At 52.3% G+C, this 25465-nt stretch overlaps 1 protein-coding gene and 1 non-coding gene across 12 annotated transcripts in view, besides 10 other annotated features; both read right to left on the bottom strand.

Annotated features, from left to right (window-relative positions):
- Positions 9–25465, bottom strand: part of PARVB (parvin beta) — a 173729-nt gene continuing 148272 nt past the window's right edge. For 8 of the 11 annotated variants that reach the window (NM_001003828.3, NM_013327.5, NM_001243385.2 and 5 more), the window contains 5 exons: positions 25026–25087; positions 21397–21465; positions 14865–14966; positions 9018–9090; positions 9–4346 (listed from right to left, as the gene is read on the bottom strand). In NM_001003828.3, the coding sequence (NP_001003828.1) occupies positions 4270–4346; positions 9018–9090; positions 14865–14966; positions 21397–21465; positions 25026–25087 (383 nt within the window). In that variant the 3' untranslated portion in view covers positions 9–4269. The remainder of the gene's footprint in view (positions 4347–9017; positions 9091–14864; positions 14967–21396; positions 21466–25025; positions 25088–25465) is intronic. The other 3 variants (XM_024452236.2, XM_017028792.3, NM_001243386.2) reach the window with 1 other exon arrangement.
- Positions 276–325: an enhancer, noted in NCBI's record as "active region_19208". NCBI's record gives its function as "activates an Ori minimal core promoter by ATAC-STARR-seq in GM12878 lymphoblastoid cells {active_cell/tissue: GM12878}" and the evidence as "EXISTENCE:reporter gene assay evidence [ECO:0000049][PMID:35858748]".
- Positions 336–515: an enhancer, noted in NCBI's record as "active region_19207". NCBI's record gives its function as "activates an Ori minimal core promoter by ATAC-STARR-seq in GM12878 lymphoblastoid cells {active_cell/tissue: GM12878}" and the evidence as "EXISTENCE:reporter gene assay evidence [ECO:0000049][PMID:35858748]".
- Positions 2330–2851: an enhancer, noted in NCBI's record as "H3K27ac-H3K4me1 hESC enhancer chr22:44565977-44566498 (GRCh37/hg19 assembly coordinates)". NCBI's record gives its function as "activates a minimal SCP1, AML or CMV promoter by ChIP-STARR-seq in naive H9 embryonic stem cells {active_cell/tissue: H9 hESC(naive)}" and the evidence as "EXISTENCE:reporter gene assay evidence [ECO:0000049][PMID:30033119]".
- Positions 4742–5521: an enhancer, noted in NCBI's record as "NANOG-H3K27ac-H3K4me1 hESC enhancer chr22:44563307-44564086 (GRCh37/hg19 assembly coordinates)". NCBI's record gives its function as "activates a minimal SCP1, AML or CMV promoter by ChIP-STARR-seq in primed H9 embryonic stem cells {active_cell/tissue: H9 hESC(primed)}" and the evidence as "EXISTENCE:reporter gene assay evidence [ECO:0000049][PMID:30033119]".
- Positions 11870–12403: an enhancer, noted in NCBI's record as "H3K27ac hESC enhancer chr22:44556425-44556958 (GRCh37/hg19 assembly coordinates)". NCBI's record gives its function as "activates a minimal SCP1, AML or CMV promoter by ChIP-STARR-seq in naive H9 embryonic stem cells {active_cell/tissue: H9 hESC(naive)}" and the evidence as "EXISTENCE:reporter gene assay evidence [ECO:0000049][PMID:30033119]".
- Positions 14006–14539: an enhancer, noted in NCBI's record as "NANOG-H3K27ac-H3K4me1 hESC enhancer chr22:44554289-44554822 (GRCh37/hg19 assembly coordinates)". NCBI's record gives its function as "activates a minimal SCP1, AML or CMV promoter by ChIP-STARR-seq in naive and primed H9 embryonic stem cells {active_cell/tissue: H9 hESC(naive and primed)}" and the evidence as "EXISTENCE:reporter gene assay evidence [ECO:0000049][PMID:30033119]".
- Positions 14540–15073: an enhancer, noted in NCBI's record as "NANOG-H3K27ac-H3K4me1 hESC enhancer chr22:44553755-44554288 (GRCh37/hg19 assembly coordinates)". NCBI's record gives its function as "activates a minimal SCP1, AML or CMV promoter by ChIP-STARR-seq in primed H9 embryonic stem cells {active_cell/tissue: H9 hESC(primed)}" and the evidence as "EXISTENCE:reporter gene assay evidence [ECO:0000049][PMID:30033119]".
- Positions 16528–17351: an enhancer, noted in NCBI's record as "H3K27ac-H3K4me1 hESC enhancer chr22:44551477-44552300 (GRCh37/hg19 assembly coordinates)". NCBI's record gives its function as "activates a minimal SCP1, AML or CMV promoter by ChIP-STARR-seq in primed H9 embryonic stem cells {active_cell/tissue: H9 hESC(primed)}" and the evidence as "EXISTENCE:reporter gene assay evidence [ECO:0000049][PMID:30033119]".
- Positions 17352–18175: an enhancer, noted in NCBI's record as "H3K27ac-H3K4me1 hESC enhancer chr22:44550653-44551476 (GRCh37/hg19 assembly coordinates)". NCBI's record gives its function as "activates a minimal SCP1, AML or CMV promoter by ChIP-STARR-seq in primed H9 embryonic stem cells {active_cell/tissue: H9 hESC(primed)}" and the evidence as "EXISTENCE:reporter gene assay evidence [ECO:0000049][PMID:30033119]".
- Positions 22208–22291, bottom strand: TRU-TCA2-1 (tRNA-SeC (anticodon TCA) 2-1). Its single transcript has one exon. It is a non-coding gene; the product is annotated as a tRNA-Sec (tRNA).
- Positions 24360–24989: an enhancer, noted in NCBI's record as "OCT4-NANOG-H3K27ac-H3K4me1 hESC enhancer chr22:44543839-44544468 (GRCh37/hg19 assembly coordinates)". NCBI's record gives its function as "activates a minimal SCP1, AML or CMV promoter by ChIP-STARR-seq in naive and primed H9 embryonic stem cells {active_cell/tissue: H9 hESC(naive and primed)}" and the evidence as "EXISTENCE:reporter gene assay evidence [ECO:0000049][PMID:30033119]".

Genomic DNA, 25465 nt, shown 5'->3' with positions numbered 1-25465 from the left:
CAGGCCCATGCTCACGAGGTCTTTATTGGAATAAATAACAGCATACTGTGACGCCACGTGGCATTGTCCTAACCGCATCCCTGGCGGAAGAAGTGTTTGCCCGGTGTTGCAGTGAGCTCCTGAAAAGCGCTTGCTTCCTGCACTCAGCCAGGTGGGCCTGACAAACAGCATGGCCAGGGTTTTCGTGGCTTTTATATAACATCCAGAAATCCAAAGTAAACATTGCTTAAAACAATTAAGAAGACAGTAAAATACTGGCACACAAAACAGGGGGAAAGGATTCAGTTGCTTTAAAATAAAATTGCTCTTTGTCACCAAGACAATTAGGACACCACGGCCCAGCGGGACTCTGGGCTCGGTGCTTGCATAACACTGTGTGGGCGTCAAAGGGGAACTGAAGCTGCGGGAGGCTCCCCTAGCTGGTGTGGGTTGAGAGACACGTCACATGGAGAAGGAGAATCAGCAAATACCTTCCTGCCCTTGTCCGAGCGTCCACTTGGGCCTTGCAGGCCTGAGACCCCTTTGTGCTGGGACGTTTGTCCCCATGGGTGGACATACTTGGCCTTGCTTTCACTCAGTTCCTATGGACCAGGGTTCCTCTTCAAAGAACCATTCACTGAAAACGTGGTGCCGGGAGGAGGAAGGGTCCCAGAATTTCTCTGAACTAAGAACCAAGAGCAGCAGCAGACGGGGCATCTCACACCCAAGCCTCATGTCCCAGCAGCCATTCATCCCAAGCCTATAGGAATCGAGTTCACCCTGAATTCTGCCTTGGAACTGGCCCCTTGCTGCATCTGTCCAGGCCATGCTATGAATTCAGACTCAAACTGATGGTGAATGGAGAAAAATGAGGAGTCGAGCCTAATGGGGCCCTTCCCAGGTATGCAAAAGGCACACCTACACCTTTGAACCAATTGGAAAAGAATGTGGACAAAAGATCACATCCAAGCCGGGTGCGGTGGTGTGCACCTGCCGTTCCAGGGACTCAGGATACAGAAGTGGGTGGATCACTTGAGCCCAGGAGTTCAAGGCTGTAGTCTGTAGTCTGCTATGTGTGTGTCTGTGAATGACCACTGCACTCCAGCCTGGGCAACGCAGTGAGAACTTATCTCAAAAAAAAAAAAAAAAAAAATCACATCCTTTGCTGGAAACATCGCCTTTAAGGGTCCCTGTTGTGAAACACAAGTGCCCATGTAGCTTCCCCACAGATCTTATGATTCCTTTTACTGTTCGACTTGAAACCCACAAGAGTGTGACGTGGGCATGAGGATAGGCATGGGTTTACTGGTTTACTAGATGGGGGCCGCCAGGACCTCCCTGAGAAGCTGAAGCCCCCTCCCACAGTAACCGTCCTCTCCCCTCTGATGACACAGAATGGGCCAGGGCTGCTCATTTTGGCTGAAAATCACAGCTCTGTTCTTTTCTTTTTCTTTTTTCTTTCTTTTTTTTTTTTGAGACAGAGTCTCACTCTGTTGCTCAGGCTGGAGTGCAGTGGCATGATCTCAGCTCACTGCAACTTCCACCTCCTGGGTTCATGCAATTCTCCTGCCTCAGCCTCCCGAATAGCTGGGATTACAGGCATACATACCATGCATGGCTAATTTTTGTATTTTTAGTAGACATGGGGTTTCACCATGTTGGCCAGGCTGGTCTCGAACTTCTGACCCCAAGTGATCCACCTGCCTCAGCCTCCCAAAGTGCTGGGATTACAGGCGTGAGCCACCGCACCTGGCCAAGCTCTGTTCTTTTCAAATCCCAATCCCTGGGAAGGCACAGTGCCCTCTCCAGGTCCACCTGTGAGCAGGGCAAGGCTGGGCCACTCCACCAGCTCCAGGGGGCCGCGGTCCTGTACATGCCATGCAGGCAGCACAGAACGTTCCAGCCCCAGGCTTTTTGTCAGTGTGGCTTTTGAATGTCACTGCATCCCGCAAGAGACACCGTAATGCTGTTTTAATTATTTCTTTCCCCTGCTGGGAAATCACCTCCATCAAAATGGCTATTCTGAACCCATCCCCAGCCTAGCAACAGCCGGAACTGAGAGGGAATATTAAACTGTTTTCTAAAACTTCGGTGTTGGCATTCGATTTCATATCAAAACTTACTCCAAAGCTCTGATCTGCGGCAGGAAGACAAAAAGCTAACAAGATCAGAAAGGCCAGGCTCACTACGGAGAATGCTGAGAGATGCCAAGGAAGGGGGCTGCTTTGCAGCAGGTGCACCCCAGGGGGTCAGCGGGTCATCACCCTGGGAAGGAGCTGGGGGAGGGGGGGGCGCCACAGCGAGGGACTGACTGCGACCAGAGGCCAGCCCAGAAAGCATGGCCGATGGGATCCCCAGTTCTCTGCAGAGCTGGGGTGAGCGAGGGGGTGAACAACCCATAACTGAGTGAGCAGCGACTCCTTTTATAGGATACTCTAAGGGAGATGCTCTCAGGGCTACAGGGAGAGTAACATGAACACTTCATATCCTCCCGGTACAAGGCAAATTATGCCCCCCACAAATCCACATGCTGAAGTCCTAACCCCAGCACCTCTGATGTGATGGTATTTGGAGACAGGGTCTTTATGGAGGTAATCAAGATTAAATGAGGTCATATAAGTGGGCCCTAATCCAATAGGACCGCAGCCCTTCTAAAAAGAGGGGTGCAGGCTGGGCATGTCCGCTCATGCCTATAATCCCAGCACTTTGGGAGGCTGAGGTGGGTGGGTCGCTCAAGCCCAGGGGTTTGAGAACAGCCTGGGCAACATGGTGAAACCCCATCTCTACAAAAAATACAAAAATTAGATGGGCCTAGTGGTGTGCACTTGTGGTCCCCGCTACTTGGGAGGCTGAGGTGGGAGGATCAATTGAGCCTGGGAGATCAAGGCTGCAGTGAGCTGAGATGGCACCACTTTACTCCTGGGTGACACAGTGAGAACTTGTCTCAAAAAAAAAAAAAAAAATAGGCTGGGCACAGTGGCTCACGCCTGTAATCCCAACACTTTGGGAGGCTGAGGCAGGCAGATCATGAGGTCAGGAGATCAAGACCATCCTGGCCAACATGGTGAAACCCCGTCTCTACTAAAAATACAAAAATTAGCCAGGTGTGGTGGCACCTGCCTGTAATGCCAGCTACTTGGGAGGCTGAGGCAGGAGAATCGCTTGAACCTGGGAGGCAGAGGTTGCAGTGAGCTGAGATCACACCACTGCACTCCAGCCTGGTGACAGAGCGAGACTCTGTCTCAAAAAATAAAAACAAAAATAAAAAATAAAATAAAAGAGGCGGTGAGGACACAGACACACAGAGGGGAGACCATGTGAAGACACGGGGAGAAGCCGGCATCTACAAGCCAAGGCGAAAGGCCTGAGGATGTAATTCTCTGATGTCTGAGCCACTCCCCTGTGGCACTTTACTACACAGTGCCAGTGAACCAATGCACCCCCCTCATTTTAAAGTTTCCAAAGATGCATTCATTCCCAAAAAGGGCCTCTGAAGGGGAAAGCTGTGACCCAAGCTGTCTCAAGCAGCACAATTAGAGCCATCTCCAGACCCAGCCCCTCAACCACAGCAAGAAATTAAGAAACGTCCCCAGCAGACAGCTCCTTTCAAGGACTGTGGGAGCTGGGCCATCCTGAGTCTTGGATGTTTGTGCAAAACCTACATTAAAACGAGTGACCAAGAAGTGATAGGAATGTGGGTGGAGGACACCCATGTCACATCTAAGCTTCTGGGACTTTAAAGTTTTTCAAACTGCAAAACCCTTTTATTTTTAATAAAAGGCCTCACTTCCAAGGAGAGCCCAGCCCAGGAGATCCCCGGTGAATCGTCAAGCCTGGGTCCTCGGGGAGCCGGCGTTCCTGCTGAGCTGATGTTGTACTTCTGAAGGCCTGTGATCGCTAACTGCACCATGAGGCAGAATGCAGGGTGCTCTCAACCAGCTGGGGGTTGGGGTTCAGGCTTTTTTTCATCTTTCGGCCAAGGCAGACAACAACGGACTCATCATCCCACGCGACTGAGTGACGCGAGGCTTCAAACGCAAGCACGAGTGTTTAGAATCCTGCATTTTCAAAGGCTCTTGCCCACTGGGAACTACATGGAGAGGAGATTAAGAACAACAACCAAAAGAGGCAGGGGGTGGGGCAGGCGTGAGGTAGGGGTGGGGTGGGGATGACAGTCAACACAGCTTGGACCAGAAGCCCATGGCGCCTGGCTCCCTGGAAAGGCACAGGGCACAGACGGATGCCGCCTTTCTTGCTGGGACACTCCTGCCACCATCCACAGCTCCCCCGTCACTCCACGTTCTTGTACTTGGTGAACAGGTTGTAAAGAACCCTCAGGGTGGATTTGAGGTCCAAGTTAACCACGTCTGCAGAAGGAAACAGAGAAACTTCAGAGGCGTGCCATCCTCCTGTCATTGCGGTAGGTACTCTCAGAAGCCACGTCTCCAGCATGACACCAGCTGCCGCATCCACACACAGCGCTTCCCCTTAAAGACTGGCCACCACCATGTCCAGGACGCTCTGGGCAGTGCCTCCCCAGACACACAGGTTTTGTGAGAGCTCCTGGCGCGGGCTGACACCCTGCGGGGACAGGCACCTGGGGTGACAAGAACAGAGACACTCCCACAGCCCCTCCTGGATCTGCATCAGGACATGTCTAAGAACCGGTTGGGGGACATGGCTAATGACACTTACCGGGACCAAAAACCCCAGTAACACTTAATGGACCCGACAGCTCCCTCTGGGGCCCTGGAAGTCTTGGGCCACTTTCTTTATGTGGACAAGAACCTTCCTGGGAATCAGACACCTTGTTCATTTCACTTGCTCTGTGACCTCTAAGTGACTTCCGTGATTTGGGGCTCAGTGCCTTCATCTGTAAAATGGGCCTGGACCAGGTAACGCTCGAGGCCCTTGGAGTCCTGACTCCCTGTGATCCAAAAGCAGCCATGGGATGACCCTGTGCTTTAGTCCTGATCACAAGAGTAAGAAACGACATCGGTTACTGAGAGAGCAGGTGGGGTGGATGCTAAGAATCAGCAACTGTCCTTGTCACTGGGCATGGAGTTTCTCGACTCACACACCCTCATCAGAGCCTGCACAGCCTCCTTTCCTTCCCTCTCGTTTTACAAAGAGGACCAAGACTCACATGGAGAAATGACCTGCCCACGAGTGTGCTGTCAGAGCAAAAGCAGGGCTGAACTCAGCTCGGTGGGCTTGGGGACACACCCGGGGCTCTGTCGGGGAACTCGGCTCGGCGGGCTTGGGGACACACCCGGGGCTCTGTCAGGGATCCCAGGGTCTCCCCCTGACCTGAAGAGTCCACCCCAGCTCCCAACAGCCCAGTGGAGGCAGGGGAGGGAGAATGGCGGCCATGGAGTTGGAGGTGGCCAAGGCGAGGGGGGCAGCAAGGACAGAGGAGCTCCCAGGGGTGGGGGCCATCACCTCCTGGCCCCCTCTGACTCCACTCCCATGGTGGACTCACAGGGAGACCAGAGCAGCAGCCTGACACCGATGCCCCCACGCAGCAGCCCCCAGGTCTGAGCTCTGAGAACTTCCAGACAGCCTCGCTGGACAAACAGAACTTAACCCTCACACCCCTGCCAGACCTGCTAACCACAGCCACCCCTTAGCACCTGCGCCCAGGGATAGGAATCACCTTCTGTGACCCATGAACCTCAGTCCCTCTGTGCTCCCCAAACACCCACCCCACCATCGAGCTCCGCACTCGGCTCTGTGAATTTGGAGCGAGCCACAAGCCTTTCTCCCAGGCAAGGGGCCTCCTTAAGAGCAGGGTCGGGGACCCCACTGGAGTCTCCGCCAGGTCCCCACAAGGGGGCAGGGGGCCAGGATGCCCATCATTGCTGGGGGCCTAGGGAACCAGGTGCAGGCCTGGCTCTTCAGACCCGCCCACGTGCAGGGGGTGTGAGACTGCTCTGCTTCCTCCGGGTGGGGACCAACAGGGCAGTCTCAGGCCTGCAGGGGAGGCCACAGCCACTGCCTCCCTCCCCACCAGCCCTGGGTACCCGGGTAAGTCTGCCTAGCTCAGAGGAGGGTGTCAGGGAGACCGCAGCCACTGCACCCCATTCTCCGTGTCATTCTTATCTCTGTTACCTCCTGATTCTTGCTCCCCAGCTGATTTTGAATGAAGAAGGAAAAGTCTCTCATTCATTGCATCAGCCACAAAATAAAGAGGCCCAGCAGGGACCCCATCTCATAAATCTCTGCGGCTTGGCCCCTGCCCAGTGCTGGCCCAGCGAAGGTGCTAATGAGCACTGCAGACCAGCTCTGCCCCCTGCCTGGGCTGGACAGAGGCCCTGGGACACCCAAGGGACCCTGCCTGGGAGGCTGCAGAACTTGCTATTTGCCCTGGACCAGTGCCTCTGCCTCTGGCCTGGTTTCCACACGTCCGTGGTGGGTTCCCTAACGTGCCGTCCAGCGGCAGATGAGTAGGAAACACATCCGGGCTCAGGGGCAAACACCCTCCTAGGAGGCCGGCCTGTCAGAGGATATCCTGGCCTCTGGACAGGCTCCTGCCTCACTCCTCAAAAACGGGACAAAGGGCCAGGTGTGGTGGCTCACACCTGTAACCCCAGCTCTTTGGGAGGGCAAGGCAGGTGGATCACCTGAGGTCAGGAGTTCAAGACCAGCCTGGCCAACATGGTGAAACCCCATCTCTACTAAAAATAGAAAAATTAGCCAGGCATGGTGGCGGGTGCCTGTAATCCCAGCTACTTGTGAGGCTGAGGCAAGAGAGTTGCTTGAACCTAGGAGGCGGAGATTGCAGTGAGCTGGGATCGCGCCACTGCACTCCAGCCTGGGTGACAAAGTAAGACTCTGTCTCAGAAAAAAAAAGTCGTGGGTTCGGGAGGACAAAGAAGCAGGGCTCCCTCAGCAGCTCAGAGGCAAAGGGCCACCAGGGGCTCTTCTGAGGGTACGGGGGAAGCACCCCATGCTGCAGATAGGGCCCAGGCTTTGGGCTACAGGAAACTAAAGGAAGCCCCAGCCAAGCCCACAGTGGACATGAGCAAGGATTTCTCCTCCCTGACAGTGTGCGACCCACCAGACACTAACGCCGAGCTAGCAGCCACCATCAGCAGGGACCTGGTGTGTTCTGTGGGCAGGACCCTCTTCCAGTGCTCATGGGAGCAGCTCACTTGAGCGTAATAGGTGCTCAGGAGCAGTCAGGCTCAGCAGCACGTGGTGGCACTGCCCGTGGGCCCTGCTGGAAAGTTACAGGGCAGAGTTGAACAGTGAAGGCTCTGACAAGTCCTGTGTGATGAACATCCGCCCCCCATCCAGCGACCCCATGACGCGTGGAGGCAGGTGCCATCATCACTCCCCTCAACAGAGGAGGAGGCCCTGGCACAGAAAGGCAAAGTAACCTGTTCAAGGATGCACAGCTGGGGAGAGGCAAAGCAGCATCCCTCGGGCCTCTAGCCACTCCCTCATGGCCCTGCCTCACAGCAACAAAAGGGCTGCAGGGCAGCAGCAACGAGGGGTCCCAGAGACCCAGGCCGGGCCGGTATCTACAGGCAGCAGCTCGCCACACTCCCTGCTGGACATGTGCTTTGATCCGTGCTGTCGAGCAGTTTCCAGGCCAGGCACCATTCTCAGCACCGGCATGCAGGGGACAAAGCCCTGCTCCCTTGAGGCTTCTGTTCTAGTGGGGAGGGAGGGACAATAAAAAATAAACAAGGCCAGGCATGGGGGCTCGTGCCTGTAATGGGCGAATCGCTTGAGCCCAGAAGTTCGAGACCAGTCTGGGCAACATAGTGAGACCTTGTCTCTACAAAAAAGAAAAGTTAAAACATTAGCCGGGCATGGTGGTATGCGCCTTAGTCCCAGTTACTCGACAGACTGAGGTGGGAGGATGCTGTGAACCCAAGAGGAAGAGGTTGCAGTGAGCTGTGATCATACCACTGCACTCCAGCCTGGGCAACAGAGTGAGACCCTGTCTCAAAACAAAAAAGAATAAACAGCCATACACACGAGACAGGAGGGTGTGAAATTGTCCTGTGAAACCCCAAGAGGAGGATGAACAGGCAGGAAGGGACCGGCCAGGAACCTTCCGCGTGGACTGGCAGGAAGCGGTGGCTGCAGTGGGTAGATGGAAGGGACAGGATCCATTTTCTAGCTATTTTGGAGACTCTACAAAGCCCGCCGTTGAGCGGATGCTGGCAACAGGTGTAGGAAGCATCATGGGCTCCCAACTCATATAGCACCATGGGGGACTCAGGAGAGGGAGCAGGGCTAGGTAGGGGGCCACGGTCAAAGTGGGGGCCCAGGGCACTAAACCACAGTGTCTGAGTTCTGTGGGCTCCTCCTGCATGGCAAAGGTTTTGATGGAGGCAAACAGATGTCTTCATATAGGACTTGTCAAAGCCTTTAATGTTCAGCTCTGCCCTGTAACTTTCCAGCAGGGTTCACAGGCAGTGCCACCCATGTTCTGCTGAGCCTGGCTGTCCCCAAACACCTAGGAAGTGTGTTTGGGGAACTGTGATGCTCACTCAGGTTAGAGAGTCCTCCTATAGGTAACTTGGCACAGGAGCCGGGGGGGGGACAGGGAAGCAACCGCCCGCCCCAGCTCTGCTGGCCTCCTGCCTCCAGCTCCGACCCACGCAGAGCATGCCAAGTCCCTGCTACCAAGTACTGCCTTTGGCTGAGCATCAGGGGACCTCCAGCCCAACAGTCATTACAGTTGAGTAAGCCTTTAATTTCTTCTCAGGGCACGAAGCTGCATTTCCAGCCTGAGTGGCCAGCTAGAGACGCACTTAATCCTGAGGTCTGTGGGCAGAGGCCACGTCCTTCAAAGTCAAGTGGTTATTAAAGAACCGGCACTGCCAGCTCCACCAGCGAAGTCCTCCTGGTTCCCAAAATGAGGAGACTGAGGAGCTGGGGTTGGCAGACCCTTGCCCCAGAGCCAGAGACGTGGGGCCCATCTGGGGAACAACATGCCAGCCTTCCAGCCACTTCTAGGACCCGTTTTTCTTCCCCTCCGTGCGCACCTCTCCCGGGGGAACCTGAGCCAGGGGCATTACCTTCAGGACGAGCCTTGGGTTTCTTGAGGCCTCCGTCCAGCATCAGCTCAAAGGCGAAGGACACATTGTGGACCTGCCAAGGAAGGGGGGTGGGTCAGCGTTAGGGTCCAACAGTCGTTCCCACACACGGCCCACTGCTGGAGGACAGCCGGCATGGACAGGACCGAGCCTCTGCAACGCTGACGTCCACAAGGACCCAGTGAGCCCGGGGCGGGCCACAGGGTGGGCAGACACGGGTGAGGAAGTCTGCGGAGGGCCATGTGCGCTTACTAGGTGGTTCTCACCCCTCACACCAGTGATCTGGGCTGAGAGATGGAAGGATGAGGTGCCCGGCCTGCTCTCGAGGGCTCACGGCCACCAAGAGCCTGCTCTGCCCCAGATGCCAGCCACCTGATGAGAAGTCACAGGGGCCCCATTTTATTTATTATTTCTTTGTTTATTTATTTATTTACGTTTTTTGAGACAGGGTCTAGAGCGCAGGCTAGTGCACAGTGGCGAGATCTCAGCTCACTGCAACCTCCACCTCCCAGGCTCAAGCCATCTTCCTGCCTCAGCTTCCCCAGTAGTTGGGACTACAGGCACGCATCACTGTGCCCGGCTAATTTTTGTATTATTATTATTTTTTTTAGAGACGGGTTTTGCCATGTTGGTCAGGCTAGTCTCTAACTCTTGGGCTCAAATGATCCACCCGCCTCAGCCTCCCAAAGTGCTGGAATTACAGGCGTGAGCCGCTGCGCCTGGCCCACAGTGACCCCATTTCACAGACAGGGAAACTGAGGCCCAGAAAGGATGAGTCCCGTGCAGAGGCACGCAGGCCTGGCACTGCCCCAGGAAGGGCTGTAAAGACCTGCACGTGAGGCTGTGTCTCTGCAGGATGGGGTGCCCTCAGGGGAGGGAGGGCCTTAGCACTGAGTAGGGACAGTGGACCAGTCAGAACGGAAGTCAGATCGATGGTGGCTGCAAGCGTCAGCCTGCAGGACCTTGGTCCTGTTAGATGCTACAGAAACGTGGCCACCTCCGCCCTACCGTGACTTCCCCTGAAATTAAAGGGTCTATTACTCCTCAGCCCCCAAATGTACCTGAAGCTTTTATCCTGCTAATGATGGCTGAACAGGTTTAAAATAAAAGCCTTCTGGGCTGTGTTTAAAGACCACTCAGAGGGATGCCGGCAATGAACCAGATTACATCCAGCCACCCACCTGCCGCAAGCCAAGGCTGATGGGAGGAGGGGACATCAAACAAACAAACAGCAAACAAGCACAGATGTCACAGTGCAAGGGACTTCAGGGCTCTTAGTAATCAAACATCCTGGCTGGGCGTGGTAGCTCACACCTGTAATCCCAGCACTTTGTGAGGCCGAGGCAGGTGGATCAGTTGAAGTCAGGCATTCGAGACCAGCCTGACCAATGGGTGAAACCCCATCTCTACTAAAAATACAAAAATTAGCCGGGCATGGTGGTGCACACCTGTAATCCCAGCTATTTGGGTGGCTGAGGCATGAGAATCGCTTGAACCCAGGAGGCGGAGGTTGCAGTGAGCTGAGATTGTGCCACTGCACTCCAGCCTGGGTGACAGAGCAACACTCTGTCTCAAAAAAACAAGCAAACAAACAAACAAAAAATCCTTTCAACGATCATATTTTCATGATTTTGAGGCCAATGAATCAGAAACAAGAACAATTTTACTTGCAATGTAATTTAATAATTAACCAGGAAAAAGAGGCTTCCCTGAGTTAATCAAACGAACAACACTGGAAAACAGTGTGGGGTGCTTTGGAAAAGCTTCCACAGTGCACACGGCCTGTGCTCGGAGAAGCAAAGGGGCGAATGACCTGCCAGCACCAACCGCAAGAGGGTCTGGCTAGTCATAGGGTCAGTGGGGAAGACACAGCCCGGCAGGAGGGCAGGCCATGTCCACCCAGGGGCGGGGGTGCAGCAGACGGAGACCCTGCTCCAGAGGCCAACTCAGAAACTGCCAATGGGAACACTGGGCCACATGGCAGACACCCCAACCCTGCAGGACAGCCTGCCTGGAGATGCGGGAGTGCTGCACCAGGGCTGGGCCTGAGGATGGCCAAACACTGGCAATGGGGGAGGAGTGAGGACGGCCCGTGCGGAGGGTGCAGAACGCAGTTCCCCTAAGGAGAGAGCAGGGAGCGACCTGCGGGTGCTGTGCATCCACCATGGGGTCAGTGTATTCCATACAGGTTCCCTTTCCCCTCCCAGCCCTGTACGAGGTGAATATCATCTTCCTTCACAAAGGAGGGTGGTGCTGGGCTGAGATGGGCTAGGACATCGGTGCCCTAAAAAGGCATGGGGCAGCTGGATGTAGTGGCTCACGCCTGTAATCCCAGCACTTTGGGAGGCTGAGGCGGGTGGATCATGAGGTCTGGAGTTCAAGACCAGCCTGGCCAACATGGTAAAACCCCGTCTCTACTAAAAATACAAAAATTAGCCAGGCATGGTGGCATGTGCCTGTAATCCCAGCTACTAAGGAGGCTGAGGCAGAAGAATCGCTTGAACCCAGGAGGCGGGGGTTGCAGTGAGCCGAGATCGTGCCACTGCACTCCAGCCTGGGTGAGAGAGTGAGATTCCTTCCCCGCCTCCAAAAAAAAAAAAAAAAGAAAAGAAAAACAAGGCACGGGGCTCACAGGCATGGAACCAGGACTGAAACGTAGAATCTGTGCCCGTTCTCCTCCAAGAGCCTCCCACCTCCACTCCCCTAGCAACACAGGTCCCTTTAGCTGACCACCGTCCATATCATCAAATGAGCTCACACACACGTATGCACATGCACACGTGCACACACACACACACACAACAGGCTTGACCCCAAATCGAGATGGAGACAGGATAGCAAAGAGAGGGAATAGCGAGAAAAGATTTTTCTTTTAAGAAAAGATTCTTCTCCATTGTAAAAGTCAGCACCAATTTGGACCGGTCTTTTCACGTGCCTCTCCCGTGCACCTCTTAAGCCTGAGGAATCCTCTTCCACGCTGAGGGAGTGGATGCTCAGGAGGGGCTGGGGATGAGATGCATGACACGTGGAGACACTCAGAGACGGCTGGAGAGTGTGATCGGGTGACGAGGTGGTCACCCCTACACCATGAGAGAACAGTTTAAGGGGAGAGCAAAGCCCCTTCCAAGCCTCATTGCTCTGCAGCCGCTCGGCCCCACAGTAAGTGGTTTTGAAGTGAGATTTTCCTTCTGCTTTCTTCTCAGGCTGAGGAAATGCCAGGCAGGAAATTGCCACCCTCCCATGCCTGTTATCTCTCAAGGCCATGCCTCCTCCCCCAGCCCTCTTTCATGCCAGGCAGAGAAGTGTCCCCTGAGCCTAGATCCCTGGATACCCAGCACATGGATCCCGGAGAGGCCTGGGGACCGCTCACCCCAGCTGTGACTGCAGTAGGAGGCCCCAAGGCCCAGCAGAGACCAGGCCATATACACACCTGCTTCGAGCCAGCCACATGGGCAGAAATCCTTTCTCTCTGCAATTCAAAAGGTTTTAATCAACTTGGCCAGGTGAGGAAAGAATAGAGGGTTCTGGAATAGGAGTCGACCCTCCTGGCTCTGCCCTTGCTGGCCGTGCAACCCTGGGCTGGTCTCTAAGCCTTCCTGAGATTCCCTGTCCTCATCCAGTAATGCTGAGGGGGAAGCAACTCGTGTCTTCTTCTAGGAAAGATCTCCACGTCTCCAGGATGCACCCCACTCGACAGAGAGAGGGAGCCTGCAGAGTCTCCCAAAATGATGACCAATGGGTGCAAGGTGCTCAGCACGTGGCCAGTGCAGGGTAAGGCTCAAACAGTGGCTTTGCAACAAAAAAACTGAAGGCCACACTCATGCCTCTGAGATAGCTCATGGGGCACGAGCCTACAGGCTCTGAGCTGTCCAGTGTGATATTTTTTAAATCCAATGCAATTGTTTTAAACCATAAGTCATTACTACCCTCGGGGACAGCAGCTCATGACGCATCTCTGGTTTTGCTCACTGAACCTCAGTCCCTCCTCCCAAAAATGTGGAGCAGCTGTCAGGATTCCCAGGGCCAGAGCAAACGCACCTCGGGGTCTCAGCCCACAGGAGACATTAGCAAGGGATGCCATCAACATCCCATCCGCAAGCAGTTTTGAGTACACGGGTGTTGGGCCCAGCCTGAAGTGGGTGAGTCCTCCACAGCAGGGACCACCCACCTGTCCAGGATTCACGAAGACTACAAGGTAGATAATAAATACTATGGGCTCATGAAGACCTTGCCAGCAGCTGCCATGAGGAGAAAGGGAAAAAAGGCAGGGGCTGGAGGAGGAACTACTGACAGCCTCCCATCCTCCGAAGGAGAGTGTTCCAGCCACCCGCAGAGCCACACCGCCACCCCAGGCTCCCTTTCTCCTGAGTGAACAGGATGAATGGTGTGCTGCATGCTATACCTGAAAATAGCCTTCCCTTCCTCGCTCCGATTCAGAGGGGAAGGCAGATGACTCAAGCCTCCTCAAGCCTCGCAGGCCAGGGCAGCAATTGTCAAAGACTTTCATCCCAGTTTCAAAGGGAAGAAGGCCAGGGCCCAGGAGATGATGCCTCTGACATTTGTACAAAGCCTTGTCTTGGAAAGAAACCAGCCCTAGGTCTCCTGGCTAAACTCACTGTTCTCGCCAGCATTCTTACTAGTTTGAAGAAAGAAAAGATCTCTCCAAAACAATGTGTCTGCAACCAGCCATATCGGGGCCTGGAAATGCATGCGCTTCTTCGCTGGATGGTCTGACCTTTCATTTCCAGGATGACAGCACAGGCACCTGGTGAGTTTCCTGGTGAGTTCTGCACAATTCTGCTCATTCCCTCTGCACTCCCTCTTGCTCGCTCGCTCGCTCTCTCTCTCTCGATTCAACATGGACTCCATGTGCCAAGACCTCTCTAATCTGTCCTGATTCCATCTCAGCAGGCAAGATAGGAACAACATTTGGCCACAAGCAAACAGACTGCAACGTGCCAGAAGTGGGCAGATTGATAAACACTGGCCCCATTTCTGCTATTTCTCTGGCTGTCGCCACCAGCTTACATTGTCTGCCTCCCTGACTCATGGGTCTAACACTTTGGGAAAATAAAATGACAGATGCCCATGAATCCAAAGCAACATAGACCATCCATGGCCAAGTTTTTAAAGGCAATGTGCTAAATACTGCTGTGAGAGGCTTGGCTGCGGGAAGCCCTGGACAGAGGGCAGACAGCAGGGAGAGGCCCACGCACGAGGGCAGTGACAGCGGGACCGGGTGGCGTGGGCCAGCCCAGATTGAAAGGAATGCCCCAAATTTGACCCTATTTGAGAAATTTTCCTAAGAAAACAATCCACAGGAATGAAAAAAAAAATCTGTATCAAAAAGATGCTCTGTTGTTTCAGTAGGGAAAAACAATAGAAACATGTTCAAGTTGACTGCCCAAGAATGGGGAATGGAAAGACGCTGGTAACAGAGCCATCCTTGGGACTTCGTGCCACCACTGGAGATGGTATTTGGAAAGCTTGGGAAGCAGCAGGGAAAACCACAGGTGGTGGAGCTGCAGCAGAATGGGGGAAGGGTTTACAACTCTACCGAGATGTGATCACAATTATTAAAAACTACACGGTCCCATGGAAAAGACCGCAAAGAAAATGTGGCAAACAAAACTCGGATGCGTTGTGGACGGCTGATGGGCTTCTTATTTCTTTTGCTGAGAGTTACATCTAATTGCAATATCACTTGTGCATTTTTTACTTTCTGAAGAATGCAGCCAGGCTGCAGGAAGAGCTGCCGGGATAGTCTATGCTCTGCATTTCAATGAGCATTTCTTGAGCCCCTACCAAGGATGGAGACCATGCACATACCTTCTGATCGAAGCTTTCCGGAGTCAGGTAGAAGTGGTGGAGAGGAACAAAGTAGTCTTCCAGAAGGCCCATGAGCAGAACCAGGTACACGCCATCTGCAAACTGCAGAGAAAGACTTGTGATGTTTCCGGGCAGGGTAAGGAGTTGGCAAATGCTTTGCACAAACTTAAGGGGGGCATATTTTTTCTTCTGAGACAGGGTCTCACTCTGTCACCCAGGCTGGAGTGCACTGATGCAATCAAGGCTCACTGCAGCTCGGCCTCCCAGGCTCAGGTGATCCTCCCTGAGGCGATTCTCCCACCTCAGCCTCCCAAGTAGCTGGGACTACAGGCACGCACCACCATGCCCGGCTAATTTTTGTATTTTTTGTAGAGACAGGGTTTCACCATGTTGCCCAGGCTGGTCTCAAATTCCTGGGCTCAAGTGATCTACTTGCCTCAGCCTCCCAAAGTGCTGGGATTACGGGTGGGAGCCACTGTACCCAGCTGGAAATATTTTAAAGTAAAGCAATCCATCCCTCCTCTCACTTTAGGCAGGAGAATCTGGAATCAAGTGAAGGCCTGAATGTGAAGTCTTTTGAGACCTGGCTCCTAACCTAGAAAAAAGCAAAAGGGGAGGGGGCTCTAACACATGGGGCTCTGCAAAGACCAAATATGATGAGTGTTTGGAGCTGAGTGCAGCTGCCTGGCTAGGACCGTGCCTCTGGAACTGTCCCCCACTCCTGACCCCAGGGATAGTAGTGACTCCCATCATTCAGGGCTGTCGTGAAGACACAGCGAGACGGCTGGGAGGGAGCACCTGGCACACGTGAGTGCTCCATCAGCATCAGCTGCTGGAAGGATTCATTCAAATCTGCAGGGTGCAGAGCTGGGACCTGGTGGCCCTCACCACTCTGTCTTGCAGCAGAGACCACAGTGACTGTGGCCCCATTCTCCAGGGGGCCTCTGGAGCTGCTATTCAACATGGTAGCCAATGGCCACATGCAGCTATTTAAATTAAAATGTTTTTGTTTGAATGTTGCTAACTTATTTTTTATTGTGATAAAATATACATAAGCTGAAATGTACCATCTTAACCGTGTGTAAGCGCACAGGCCAGTAGCATTAAGTACATCCTCATTGTTGGGTCACCCTCACCACCACCCATCTCCAGAACTTCTTCATGTTACCAAAGTGACACTCTGTCCCCCAATTCTCTATTCTACCTTCCCCCCAGCCCCTGAGAACCACCAATCATTCTGCTCTCTGTCTCTATGAATTTGACTCCTCTGGGTATCTCACGTAAGTGGAATCGCATATCCATTTATCTTTTGTGTCTCGCTTATGCTAACCTTTCTCTTTAATTAATTTAAATTGTGGTAAAATATACCATAAAATATACCATAACATTTACCATCTTAACTACTTTTAACTGTCCAGTTCAATCATGTTAGGTGCATTCACGTTATTGTACAAACAATCTCCAGAATTCTTAAATTTGAATTTTTAAAAAAATTAAAAGTAAAAACTTCTAGGCGCAGTGGCTCACGCCTGTAATCCTAGCACTTTGGGTGGCCAAGGTGGGTGGATCACAAGGTCAGGAGTTCAAGACCAGCCTGACCAACAGGGTGAAACCCCGTCTCTAGTAAAAATACAAAAATTAGCGGGTGTGGTGGTGCATGCCTGTAATCCCAGCTACTCGGGAGGTTGAGGCAGGAGAATCGCTTTAACCCGGAAGGCAGAGGTTGCAGTGAGCCGCGATCGCGCCACTGTACTCCGGCCTGGGTAACAGGAGTGAAACTGTCTCAAAAAAAAAAAAAAAAAAAGATGAAAAGTCAAAATCACAAACATCCAATATCAGAAGCCCTGACCTTTAGCAGGGAGAGCTGCAGCTAGAGCTGTAAAGCATAAAGCTAGTGCCAGTGGGCAACAGTCCCTTAAGGGACTCAGGACAGGGTCTGGGCCCTGCTGGAGTGCAGTGGTGCGATCTCGGCTCACTGCAACCTCGGCTCACAGCAACCTCTGCCTCCTGGGTTCAAGCAATTCTTCTGCCTCCGCCTCCTGAGTAGCTGGGATTACAGGCGCGTGCCACCATACCCGCCAATTTTTGTATTTTTAGTAGAGATGGGGTTTCACCATGTTGGTCAGGCTGGTCTTGAACTCCTGACCTCATGATCCACCCACCTCGGCCACCCAAAGTGCTAGGATTGCAGGCATGAGCCACTGCGCCTGGAAATTCAACACGCTGTCAGTTGATGGGCAAATGGCACTTGGCCTCCATGTCACATGCCCTCAGCCTTCCACACCACAAAGCAGCCAGCCACTCCTATCATTAAGGAGATCAGACGGGTTTGAAGAATTCTTTTAAGTGTGTCTCCACATGGAAGCTTCATGCCCACAGCACCCTGGTTAAGCGTGCTGGCACCTTCCCAGCAGAACAACATTGAGCTGCCATGCCCACGTCTCCATGGACTAACTTCCAGGGAATGGAAGCTGCCACGTGAATGAAGGCACCAACCCACACCTCTCCCCAGGAGGTCTGGGGTGGCCACGCCGCTGCTCCCGCAGGCCCTGAGCCTGCTGAGTCTTTTCTTCCTTCCGTGGTGTCTCCTCACTGTCCCAGCACACGGGCTCACAGGAAGGAGGGAGGGACGGCCACAAGGAGAGGGCAGGGCTGGGGGGCCCAGCTGCGAGCGGGTGACCCTCCACTTTCACAAGCACCCAGCGTGGTGCCCTCTCTCCACAACCTGCTGTCTAGCTCAGCAGGGAGCAGAATCCCCACGGAGGCCCAGAGGCCCCACCACCGCCTCCTCATCCGCAGTGCTAACCCCTGCCGAGCCCTGCCCACTTGATCTCAGTGCGCCATCTCACCCAGTCCTCACACTGCCCATCGCCTCCAGTTTAATTCTGTGGACAGAAGCTCAGGGAGGCTGAGGAGTTCACTCACCATCACAGAGCTGGGACGCTGTCCGCAATGTAAGAATGGTTTGGAAAAGGAGGGAAAACACACACCTACACCACACACACACCACACAGACTACAAAAACCACACACACACACACACACACACCACACAGACTACAAAAACCACACACACACACCACACAGACTACAAAAACCACACACACACCACACAGACTACAAAAACCACACACACACACACACATCACACCACACAGACTGCATAAACCACACACACACCACACACTACACAGACTACAAAAACCACACACACACACCCCCACCACAGACTGCATAAACCACACACACAACACACACCACACAGACTACAAAAACTACACACACACATCACACCACACAGACTACATAAACCACACACACACCACACAGACTGCATAAACCACACACACACCACACAGACTACTTAACCACACACACACACCACACAGACAACGAAAACCACACACACCACACACCACACAGACTACGTAAACCACAAATACACACACACACCACACAGACTACATAAACCACACACACACACCAGACTACATAAACCACACACACACACACCAGACTACATAAACCACACACACACACACACACACACCCACCAGACTACATAAACCACACACACACACACACCCCCAACAGACTGCATAAACCACACATACCAGACTACATAAACCACACTCACCCACACACAAATAGAAATTGAAGAAATTAAACCAGGGCCTCTCCGACTCCTAGGGCATCAAGACGTTAATGATTTACAGTCTTCATAAATGATATATGGTATTTATAAAAATACCCAAATTCCTTTGCAACAAAACAAAACAAAAATCCCTGCATTTCTGTAACCAGCGACCTTTTCTGGGGGACCAGTGGTTAAATGTACTTTTAAGACTCTATATAGTACGATTAATCGGGGGGAAAAAAATGAAGATATTGAGTAAATAAAAACAAATGCAAATTTAATTTTAGAGTCTCAATGTAAGAGGCTCAGCTGCTAATACTGATGTGCAGACACCTCTGAGAAGGGCTGTGGGGACAGCTGGTATGGATGTGGGGGAGCAGTGCCCCTCACACGCCCCATGACAGTACCAGGGGCCCCCACACAGCAAATCTTCCTGAGCCTTCAAAGTGTGCGGTGCAGGCTTCGCTCTAATGACTCCACTTCTAGGCTTTTATTCCGAGGAAGCAGGCACGAGCACAGACAGCCGTGCACAAAGCTGCTCTCTGCACTGCTGTTTACAGGAGCAGAAAAACATCCAGTCGTGAGGCACTGGTTTAATGAGGTGCAGTGCAGCCTTCCCGCTGATGAGATACACTTCCCATTAAAAGTGACAAAATATAGACAGACCGATAGATCGAGCAAGGGAAAAAGGATCAGATAGAAACACACACACACACTTTCTCTTACACCAAAAGATGCCCACAGTGTATTTAGTGACACAAAACACATTACAAAACAGTGGGCGGTAAGATCCACTGTTATTTAGAAAAATACCTTTGTGCATAGAAAATGTGGCTCACACCTGTAATCCCAACACTTTGGGAGGCTGAGGCAGGTGGATCACAAGGTCAGGAGTTCGAGACCAGCCTGACCAACATGGTGAAACCCCATCTCTACTAAAAATACAAAAAAATTAGCCAGGCATGGTGAGGCGCACCTGTAGTCCCAGCTACTCAGGAGGCTGAGGGAGGAGAATTGCTTGAACCCAGGAGGTGGAGGTTGCAGTGAGCTGAGATTGTGTCACTGCACTCCAGCCTGGGGGACAGAATGAGACTCTGTCTCAAAAAAAAAGAAAGAAAGAAAAAGAAAATATCTAGAAAAATACACATCCAACCATGAACTGCAGTTAGCTGCCCCTGGAGAGTCTGAAGGGGGAGGTCTCCAGAAAAAGAGAAAGGAAGATTTTTACTTTTCACCTCAGTGGCTTCTGGGGTGCTAACGTCTCAAACAGAAAATAATCTGAGGCTAAATGTGCAACATTTGTAAACTGCGGAAAATAAGAAATGTGTTGGCCAACGATACACAAATAAATATATACATTAAAAACAGACCGTGATGCTTTTATATACAGACCCACACTGTCCATGACTCGCTATATGTGTAGAGAAAAGGCCTGAACAAAACCCTCTGTGCATTCATCTCCGGGTGACGGGATTATGGGTGATTTTTATTTGTTTTGCTTATCTGCATTTTCAGACATTTCTACAATGAACCTGAATTAGTTTTTTAATTAGAAAAGCAAATGAGGAAAGTTAAAGAAAGAGAAGGGAATGAATGCATTCACCTTGGGGTTTAAGAAGGATCAGCTGTGCATTAGGGATGTCTGTACCAAGAGCTCAAAAACCTCCGCATTCAAGCACCCTGCTAATCCTGGGAAAATCATATTTTGTCTTTAATGCTCTCGGAGTGCCCAAAAATATAATTTAAGGATGCTCCTTTAGCTTTGAGTAGGGGTCGGGGCTGGGGAAGTAGACTTGATATACTTATTGCAGAAGAAATGTGTTGTACATACCTACCAGGGGGACATTTGCTAGGTCCTGGCCACAGTGTGACAGCAGCACTGAGCAGAGGCTGAAGGGGCCAGCACGTTCTAGACAGAGGAACTGCGTGTGCAAAGGCCCTGTGTTGGGCTGGGGTGGAGCCCTGGAGTGTGTTATGGGTTGAATAACACCACTCAGGTGTTTTGGGGTTTTGTGTCTCCCAAAAAAAGATACAGTGGTTGGGAGGCTGAGGCAGGCAGATCATGAGGCCAGGAGATCGAGACCATCCTGGCCAACACGGTGAAACCCCGTCTTTACTAAAAATACAAAAATTAGCTGGGCATGGTGGGATGTACCTGTAGTCCCAGCTACTCGGGAGGCTGAGGCAGGAGAATGGTTGGAACCCGGGAGGTGGAGGTTGCAGTGAGCCGAGATCACACCACTGCACTCCAGCCTGGGTGACAGAGCGAGACTCTGTCTTTAAAAAAAAAAAAAAAGAAAGAAAAAGGATACAGTGGAACCCTAATCACCAGGACCTCTGAATGTGACCGTATCTGGAAACAGGGTTTACATAGATGCAGTCAGGTTGGGATGAAGCCATGGGTGGGCTCTAATCCAACATGACCACGTCCTGATAAAAGGGGGACATTTGGACACAGAGACACACACACAAGGACGACACCACATGAAGATGAAGGCAAAGAAGGGAGTGATGTGTGTACAAGCCAAGGAATGCTAAAGATCCTGGCAAAACCACAGAAGCTGGGAGGGAGGCCAGGAACAGCTCCTCCCTCACAGCCTTGGAGGGAACCCACCCAGGCCCCATCTTGATTTTGGACTTCAGGCCTCCAGCACTTCGAGGACACAAAGGTCTGTTGTTTCAGCCACTAGGTTTGTGGTGCTTTGTGGCAGCAGCCCCAGGAAAGGAAGACAGAGGGGCTGAGAAGGCCACGGTGGTTATTTCTGCCTGCACCACGGGAGTTCCTTGTGAGATGAACAAAATGGCGCCAGCTTTGTTCACGCGCCCCACCTGGGATCAAAACACTGACTGAAAATGGCGGTGGACAAAGGATCCTTCAAGCCAAAGCAGCACATACCTGGGTCTCCAGTTCCGTCACCTCCAAATTCAGCTTGTTCAGGTGCTTGTTCACAAAAGTGATGAGAGACTGCCAAGAATAAAAGAGACACAGGAGCCATGAATGGCCCGCATGCAGGTCCCATCTGGAGGGGCAGGCTTGACATTTGCCAGCCCCAGCTCTGTGAAACGCTTTCATCATCTCCTGTTTGCTAAAATAAAAAGCCCATGTTTCAAACTCAATATCCTGACAGTAGCCCCTAGTTTTCATGGCATAATGCCCACATCTATCCTGGCTACACGTCTCTGCTCACCAACCCATGCACACATATGCCAATCCGTGCACGCATGACATATTTAACAATCATACTGGAGAGCACCCTGTGCTCTTAAGAAAGATGAAACTGCCAGGGGAGGATCATTACATTTGCAAATGTATCTTAGGTGTGACCTGGAACAATAAACGGCATACTCAGAAGACTGAGGAAAGTGCTGCCTTGAGCCACACCTACTGAATTTTTTTTTTTTTTTTTTTTTTTTTTTTGAGACAGTCTCACTCTGTCGCCCAGGCTGGAGTGCAGTGGCGTGATCTCGGCTCATTGCAAGCTCCGCCTCCCGGGTTCACCGGGTTCACATCATTCTCCTGCCTCAGCCTCCCGAGTAGCTGGGACTACAGGCGCCTGCCACCACGCCCAGCTAATTTTTTTGTATTTTTAGTAGAGATGGGGTTTCACTGTGTTAGCCAGGATGGTCTCGATCTCCTGACCTCGTGATCCACCCGCCTTGGCCTCCCAAAGTGCTGGGATTATAGGCGTGAGCCACTGCGCCGGGCCTACAAAGGTGGAATTGAACCACTCTGTCACTAGACAGCTACAGGTTTGAAGCCTGCACCCCAGACCACTGAGGATCATCCGAGCTTTTGGTGCCCCGGCTAGAGTGCAATGGCATGATCCCAGCTCACTGCAACCTCCACCTCCCAGGTTCAAGCGATTCTCCTGCCTCAGCCTCCCGAGTAGTTGGGATTACAAGCACCCGTCACCAAGCCCGGCTAATTTTGTATTTTTAGTAGAAATGGAGTTTCCCCATGCTGATCAGGCTGGTCTCGAACTCCAGACCTCAGGTGATCCACCCACTTTGGCCTCCCAAAGTGCTGAAATTACAGGTGTGAGCCACAGCGCCCAGCCTGCCTATCGATTTGCAATACATGGGGAGATCCACCCAGGGTGATCTCTCTGAGCCCTATTATGTAAGTACCAAGGGGCACTGGCTTCTCTCCGGCACAAGCTTAAAACCTGTCACCTGTAATTCCTCAGTGACCAAAGCCAACTTTGATAGAAACTCAATATCATCCACCACTGCCCATGACATGATTTCTTTGTTTTGTTTTGTTTTGTTTTGTTTTGTTTCGTTTTGTTTTGAGATGGAGTCTCGCTCTGTTGCCCAGGCTGGAGTGCAGTGGCGCAATCTCGGCTCACTGCAAGCTCCACCTCCCGGGTTCACGCCATTCTCCTGCCTCAGCCTCCCGAGTAGCTGGGACTAAGGGTGCCCACCACCATGCCCACCTAATTTTTTTGTATTTTTTAGTAGAGACGGGTTTTTGCCATGTTAGCCAGGATGGTCTCGATCTCCTGACCTTGTGATCCACCCACCTCGGCCTTCCAAAGTGCTAGGATTACAGGCGTGAGCCACCGCGCCCAGCCTGCCCATGATATGATTTCTTACCCATTCTGCTCAAATTTACTGAGCAGCTACTATGTGCCAGGCATGCTGCTTGGTGCTAAGGACACAAACACAGAGAGCTCCACCCCTGGCCCCCGCCAAAGGGCCTGTGATGTAATTCTCCATATGCGTGTAGTGGTGGGACGGAGAAGTCAAGAGATAGGGCACTACAGGGAAACACGCAATGCAAGGGAGATTTCATGAGCCATTAATGGGTGTGCGGACCCCCGTTAAGACCATGGAGAGGGAGCATTGGAGCTGGGCCTGAGGGTGGGCCAGTGCAAGGTGAGAGTGAGCCGAGTGGGCACCCAGACACATCTGCAAACCCTTTGGGGTCTTCAGGCTGTGGCTGGATGTGGGTGGGATGGGAAGGAGTAGGAGGGGACGACCCAGGGAGAAACCTGCAGAGGTGGGCAGGGGCCCCTGACTTCATTCTGGGGCACAGAGAGCTACAGACACCTAAACTTGCAATGTGGAGGTGAGGAAGGGACAGGCTGGAGTGGGAAGCTACCAGGCAAATCAAAGGATTCTGTCTTCTTCCTTGCTGGTGGCTCCAGTGCCGAAAATGTGTCTTTCGCAGAATGAATTAACATGGTATCTACCGAGAGATGAAAGCAATCTCAGGCCACACCATTCTCAATGCTACCAGTGACTATACGCTGCCGGCTAAGCCCATGCACAGAGAGAATCCCAGTTTATCCTCACAGTGCCCTGAGAGGTGGGTAACATCTCTGTCCCCACTTGACAGATGGGGAAACTGAGGCTGGGGGGTATAATCTCGCCCTTCGCCAGAAGTCACACAGCTGATAAGTGGGGAAGCTGGATTTGATTCATTCCCTGAACCGGTTCTGTCAGGGTCCCTGGGGGCCACATGTGACGAGGTGGAGGTGGGGGACTCTGATGCTCCAAGTATATCCCTCACCACCCAAGAGTGCTAGGAAGGCTTTGTCCCAGAAGGACCATTAGCACGGTTCCAACAGCCTTTTGCAAAATGCTTCCAAAAATGAATGATCTCATCGTCCAAACCCAGGCCAACATTTTCCAAAAGTGGGTTCCACTAAAATACAATGCGTCTTACCCCAAAATTGATAGATAAATAAATCCCACTATAAACAAACAAGTTTGAAAAATGCTTCCTACCAAGCTCCCTCTTGGAGAAGTACAGTATAGGTCAGCCTATTAAAGGTTCTGACAAGTCTTGCACTAAGAAAGCTGTTTGGGTAAGCTGTCCTAGACAAAGGAGAACTCTCTTGCCTGCACCATGGGTTGAAATGAGCGCTCCTCCGATGTTATGGGAAGGAGGGATGCAGCAGCCTCCTGAATGGGATGCCTGCAGGCACTCGGATAAGTTAATGAGCAGCCAGTGGGCTCCAGTTCCTTTTGACGGGAACAAGCCTCCCTGGCAGATCCCCCAGAAGCTGATCACACCCAGCCCCCAACTCCAGAGCCTCGGAGATTTTTCCATCCACAGATTGACCAGCAGGCTGCCTGGGCTAGTGAGGGCCCATTCTCTGTCTGGAGGGAAACGGGCCAAATCCATGTATGGCACAGCTCAGCCGCACAGGCCTGCGTGTTTACTGGGCAGGCTGTAGATGGTAAATGAGGCCAGCGAGAGCAGCAGGCTGACATGCTTAAAAACATTTCCACATTGAAAAAAGGTCTCGAGTCAGAAAGAAATGGGGGCTGGGTAATTCACTTAACAGAAGCGGAGCGGGCGGGCAGGAAGACACCCAGGGAGCAGCGAGGTTGAGTTAAAAGGCGCTGATTTTATGCACTGTGGTTAGGTTTTTGACTGTAATTACATTTCAATCCATGTGGCAAACATTTCTGAGATTCCAAACATTTTCCCACCTTCTTCCCAGCGGGGCGTTTGTGCTGTCAAAAAGCCGCGAGCCAGGGGAGAGCACATCCAACATCCCACCAATAGCTCACCTTCTTCACCACGCTGAGCTTATCCGGGGCGTGGTCGAACAGCGTGTCGAAGGCATCCCGCTCTGAGGACATGCAAAGAGAGACACGAAGGAGCGTTTATGGAAACCCGTGGTGCTGCCCTAATCCAGGGCCCTGCCAGCTTCTGATCCCTCAGGAGGTTCAGCCTCAACTCCCACACCTGCCTAGAATCCTTCCAATTCCTACCAGAATGAAAGGGCTGACCCTGATGATCAGTCCCGGCCAAACCAAGGCGAGCAAGAGCGCTTGGGAACAACCAGAACAGCGTGGACTAGAGGCTGCAGAGGGTCCCTTCCACCTGCTTTTTACCTTCTCATATGAAACACATAGATGGCATCTGGCATCTGCACCTGCCACGTCCTAGGACTTGAGGCGTCCTGAATTCTCCCTGTTCCCACACTCCTTGTCTACTGGCAAATGTC

This window comes from Homo sapiens, chromosome 22 (genome assembly GCF_000001405.40).
Source record: "Homo sapiens chromosome 22, GRCh38.p14 Primary Assembly".
Classification (NCBI taxonomy): domain Eukaryota; kingdom Metazoa; phylum Chordata; class Mammalia; order Primates; family Hominidae; genus Homo; species Homo sapiens.
The sequence above is the reverse complement of the archived record's forward strand: the minus strand, read 5'-3'. Positions and strand labels throughout refer to the sequence as shown.